This window comes from Homo sapiens, chromosome 5, assembly GCF_000001405.40.
Source record: "Homo sapiens chromosome 5, GRCh38.p14 Primary Assembly".
In the NCBI taxonomy this organism is placed as follows: domain Eukaryota; kingdom Metazoa; phylum Chordata; class Mammalia; order Primates; family Hominidae; genus Homo; species Homo sapiens.
In genome coordinates this window covers 7,314,262-7,320,261 of record NC_000005.10, presented here as the reverse complement: position 1 = coordinate 7,320,261, position 6,000 = coordinate 7,314,262, and positions in this window count along the sequence as shown.

The following is a 6,000-nucleotide window of genomic DNA, read 5'->3' as shown; positions in this document are numbered from 1 at the left end:
TGATTCCACCATTAAAGTCCTTTTGGCATAAAAGTTGAGCCTGAATCAGATGAAACTCATCCAGATCCATTTCCCTGTATAAGGAAAATACACAGGGAGAGGAAAGATGTAAATAACAGCATGTAGAAGCAAACAGCAAAATTCAGTCTGCAAAAAACTCTGGAGGACAAATCAATCTTTATTTATTTTGCAAATATAAGGAAAACATTATATGAAGAGAAAAAACAATTAAAAGAGATATAAGAGATGGATCAATTAATCATAATATGTGGACACAAAAAAATCCTTTGTGTGTCCAGGCTTAAACAAACTGCAGAAAATGTAAAGAATGACATTTGTGACATTTTTGAGACAATTAGAGCTTTGAATACTGACTAGATATTCAGTATCTTAATATTGATGGTATTAAGAAATTATAATTTTAAAGATATCATAGTGATATTATAGTTATGCTAAGGAAAAGAAGTTATTATGTTTGAGATACAGTCTGACACACTTGTAGATGAACTGATAGACTTTCTTCAAAATAATGTGGGATGGGAGGTAAAGTAGTGAGCGCATGGATGCAGAAATGGTGGAGGTGAGGGAGTAAAATTTGGGGGCAGAGGTGAGACTGAAATGGCCAGGAGTTGAAATGGTTAAAGGTAGGTGATGGACACAGAGAGGTTTATTTCATAGATCTGTCTATCTATATGTTTGGAATTTCTCACAGCAAATAGTTAAAATATAAGTAGACACCAGCAATTGAAGAAAATTAAATAGAACACATTATCTCCAAAGTCCATTCTGTATGTAGAAAGCCAACTGAAAATTGAACTTGTTGGTGTATCTAAATGTAGTCTAAAATGGACTTTCTTTATAACAATTCAACTTTATAGCCAATAATAAACACTAACTTTCCTCCTAAGAGTTGGAAGTAGGATACAAAGAGTGGTACATTGGAACCAGCTCATAGAAACTCGGGAGAATCCATGATTAAATTTTTCAGTTGTTGAACAGTTATTATTAAAATTAAGTTCTATAGTTACAGTGAAATAAATTCCATATGTTTAAAGATAGTAAGTACAGTAATCAAAACTCTTCACTTCTGAATTGCTTTACTGGACTTTCCCACTATCTGTGCTCTCAGGGTTATTCTACTGAATATGTGATGGTGGCAGTGCTAAAGCATGGTGGGTAGGGTAATGCATGTCTTTGCAACTCCATGTCTAATGAGGCCATGTTGGTTGGAACCGGACATGGTAGTAATATTTATACTATGGGAACTGGGGAATGCTACACACTGAGGGCCAGTTGTTAATCATTATCAGCACACCACTTATATACGGAGTTGTTCATTTGATTCTAATATAAGTAATATATGGATAGAACACTTAAAATTAATTAAAGAAATACTAAAGAACCAACTATGTCTATCACTAAACTGTCTCATTCTTTTATACCTATGCATGTATGTGTCTGTCTCCTCTACTCATCCGTGAGCTCTTTGAGGGTAGTGAATGCATTTACTCATCAATTTTATTCACAGTACTAGAAAAGTAGCTGATACATTTGGCTGGCTGAATGATGAATGAATAAAATTCTATTTATTTAATGTCTTCAATGAGCTCATCCTAGTGCCTAATATTATGGAGATTCAGAAGAGATTTTCTTTCCCATCAAAATTTTTTTGTCTAATTGGGACAACCTACTGGTAGATTACACCATAGTAACAGTGATATATATTAATGTGCTAATTTATTAGATAGAAACTAAATTCTAAAAGAGAAAAATGAATGAGAAGGTCAGAGAGGGCAGTGAAATGTTAGTTACCTTGGGTTAATTCTCATCAATTTCAGTTCCTTGTTTGGGAACTTACCATATACCAGACTAAATAGTTCATATATATAATATTTTATTTAATAATATTAATGTTACTCTGTGATAGATATTACCACCCTTATTTTGTAGATGAGAAACTGAGCTTTAAACAGGTAATGTAATCTTCAGCAAGAGGTAGGACTTACATTTTAACTCAGGTTCCTCTGCTTTCAAAGTGCCTGACTTTCAGCATGTTATGCACTGTCTTAGAGAAGAGGAAGAACAGAATTCGTTTCTGAAAGATTTGGTAAAATTTGAAAAGTAGAGAGAAGGAAAAGATATTTTATCTAATAAGAGAAGAACCATTATCAAGATAAGGCATCAGGAGTAAAGGGGGTATCTGGAGCTGTGAAGAGCTTGTCCTGGAGGAGCGGCTGACTCATTTTGGGAGAGGATGACTATGTGGCTGGCTGACAGGACTGACTTTCCTGAATGATTTGCAATCCAGGCAGAGAAATTTGGCTCTCAAATGGGGAGCCATCGAGTTTTCTGAGCTAGAGAGTACTATAAACATTATGGAATTCAAAAAACATTAGAAAATATGCCAGGTGGATTGAAAATGCAAGAATGGCAACAGATGTTGTGGTAATAAAGGTATGAAGCAACATAAAACTGAAATAGAATAACAGGCATTTTCTTTGGGCTTTGGGAATGTTTTTCATAAATTATTGCTCTTAAGCAGTAATAATGAGGAAATCATAAAACAAATTCCCATAATTGGATAGGAAATGACTAGGTTTTTGTTTTGTTTTGCTTTGTTTTTAGTAATCATAGTAAAATCCAATATGCTGCCATAAAGGAGACTGAATCCTATAGCGGCGTCTAGTATCTAGCACACTGCAGGTCCTCTCAGTGTATTTTGGGTGAGCAGGCTCTTGAGTAGGAAGTAGAGCATCTTTTGTTTCAGGGCACCCAAAGCCAGCATTAGACCCATTCCTACCACTTGCTGGCGCTTCCCTGGCACCTTCCCAAATGTCCCATTGGGAGGATGACCATCCCCAGTGGAGGACCACTCAGGGTAGCAGACCACCTCTTGAATTCAGTTTCTTGTTCTTTTTCCCAGAAGTATCACATCCACAGAGAATGCTTCATATCAAACAACATATATTTCACTTCCAGGGAAGACTTTATAGTGATTTAATTATTCATCACTTTGACCTTCCAAATCTCTGGCCAGAAGATTTGGTTGACCTCATTTGAAATGTTTCTTGATGACGAAAAGGTGAATTGCACACAAATACCATGAATATAATTTCACAAGAGTAAGTACAATGTATAAATAATCATTCATAAGAATGAAATCACAGCTTATTCAGGTTGCAAGAAATTTGAGGCGATGATCATTTTAGTGTACATTCAATAAAGCAAAGGAAAAACAAGTGTAAATTCCTCTGAAGAAAGAGAAAGATGGATGCTGATTGAACATGACTAGTGGGTTTTTAAATAACTTATTAAATCTGTCATTAAGAACCAACTTTCAAGCCTTTAGTTTGTGGAGACTGACTGCATTTTCAAAGTCCCAAAGTCACGTTCAAAATTTATGTTTTACAAAAATGAGTAGGTGGAGATGAATAGGTTTTACTGATCTCCTCTAGCTCCAACTCATTTGCTGCTGTAGTTCACAGGAAATGGCACTGCAGCCCAAACCGATCCCTTTCCAAGCTTCTGGGTTCAAAAGTTCTAACAGTCTACATGCCAGAGGGACATCTTCATTCTTTTTACCAAAAGTTTCTCACCAAATTCTTAAAAGGCACTATCGGTAGAATCACAGGCAATAGATTAGCAGGAGACGGGGATCAAAAACTGGGTAAAGAAAATTTTATCAAACCGAGGAGTTTAGAGGGGGAGAAGCTGGAAGGAGTTGAAATGCCTGCTGTGCAGTCCCTGAGAGGGGAGTGAGACAATGGGAGCTGCCCAGGTGACAGGAGCTGTCGGGTCTGCCTCTGAAGAAAAAGTCCCAGCAGAGCCTCTCTTCAGAAAGGGAGGAGGCCGAGTCTCAGCCCTCAAGGAGCTGAGAGCCTGCTTAGTGGGACTGAGATCCAGCATTTGAGAATACATGACAGAGAAGAGTGAATGCTGCTTTAGGAAGATGTCAAAGGAAGCAGGGCCCACCGATGCCTGGAAGGTCAGGAAGGCTCTGTCTACACAGAGCCTGGACTCTGGTAGCATTGATGCAGTTCTCACATAACCAGGTAATTCTAATTAGTGCAATATTGGGTTTTGTTTAGTATTTGAATACATAAATTTAAAACACCTAATTTTATTCGAATATTTAATTATGATGGTCCATCTTACAATGGCTTGAACATTTTGAGTTGAACTTACTAGTCTTCCTACAACCCCTTCCCTCTGTTCTATTTTCAACACACCATCCTGTGATCCTTGGAAAAGACAGGTCAGACACACTTCCTTCCTCAAATCCCACCAATGGCTTCCCACGGCATTGGTAGCCACAGCTGAAGTTTTTGGAGTGGCTGCCAGAGCCCTGCCTTATGGGACCTGTCACCGCTCTGACTTTGTCTCCTTCTACCTCTCATTGCTGTCTGCACCAGCCTCATCGTATCACTAAGACACGTTCTCTCTAAGATCTGGACCTAGGCTCTTCCCTCATCTTGGAATTCCCTTCTCCTGTTGCCTATCTAGCTCCTACCCTCACCCCCTTCAAGTCTTGGCTCAAATGTCACCTTCTCAAACCCTTCCCCTCCCCATAATCACCCTGTTGAAAATGGCAGCCAGCCTATCCTGTGTTCTCCCAGTTCTGCTCTAGGTTGTCCTTTCTCTCTACCCCATCCTGGAGCACTGATCGCTCCAACATGACATTAATTTGCTTTTGATGTTCTTAATTTACTGTCAGTCTCCACCCTCTAAAACAAAGGGATCTTTCCTGATTTGCACGGTGCTACATCAGAGACAAGCACATGTAGACATCAAATATTTGTCTACTGAGTTGACTCATTAATCAATTCACCTTCTTTTTACATCTGATGGGCATACTGAGGGTGTCCAAGGCTGAGCTGTAAAGAAACACAGTGAAGTTCAGAGTCTGTGCAGGGCTGCCTTATTTTCTGGGAGACAGCCTGCTTCTTTTGGAGCTGAATGTCGACATCCTCAGAAACCCCTTCTTTCAGATGCTGATTATCTTTCTATTTCCTTAGCTGGTCTCTCACTAGCAGCACATCAATCACTCACTCTTGCTTTCTCACATGATGTGTAGTGCTGACAAAGCCCATTCTCACTTCATCATGTCTATTGTGTCCAAATTTTGCACAACTTACATTCAACACCCTTTCCCATCTGACCACCTGGGCATGCATAGATTTCAGTATCACCACTTGCAACCTCCTTTGCTAGCCTAGAGATTTGGGTGGCAGCAGGAGTAAAGAGTTGCCTGCTTGAACCTTGAACACGCTTTGGTACCATATACACATGCAGTGAGAATCGATTTTATATGCAGTGTACATTATCTAGTTAGGGACTACTACTTACCTGATTTGCCAGGCCTCAGCACAGCAGACTTGACTGCAGTTAATTGGGCCCACTCATTCAGGAACCTCTTAGCAACTCCTTAAGAGGTTCTTGAGCCTGTATAACAACACCATAAGGAATTGCCTTTGAGCAAGTGAAGATACAACACACATGAACTAATGATAATTGAATGACTAAATCCTTAAGCACTAATATAAATATCCAGCTATAACAACAGTGTGCTTCATGTATTTACCTGATTGTTCCATCAAAATGAAGGCCTCATGGGGGCAAGAACTGGATTGGTCCTGTTCATCACTGGGCCTCTGGGTTGGCAGATAGGGGTTGAGTAATTCTTGCTGAATGGACAAATAGTGCTTCACGTCCAGGGAATGCCAGGGCTCCTTCTGGTTATGAGCATGGGCTCTGTCCCCTTGAGGGCTCTGTCACCTGGCCATGTGTGTAAATTCACAAATTATTTGTGGTCCCCGTGCCTCAGTTTCCTCATCTGAAGAACTATGGGTGATACTAGTTTTTCATTCATAAACATGTGTGAGGATGAAATGTATGAATGAGTGTAGGACCTCTGGGATTGGTGAGTGGCATAAGGTGAGTACTTATAAATGTGGACTCTTACTGATATGTGGTTACCACTGGGGGCCACAGAGACCTTCC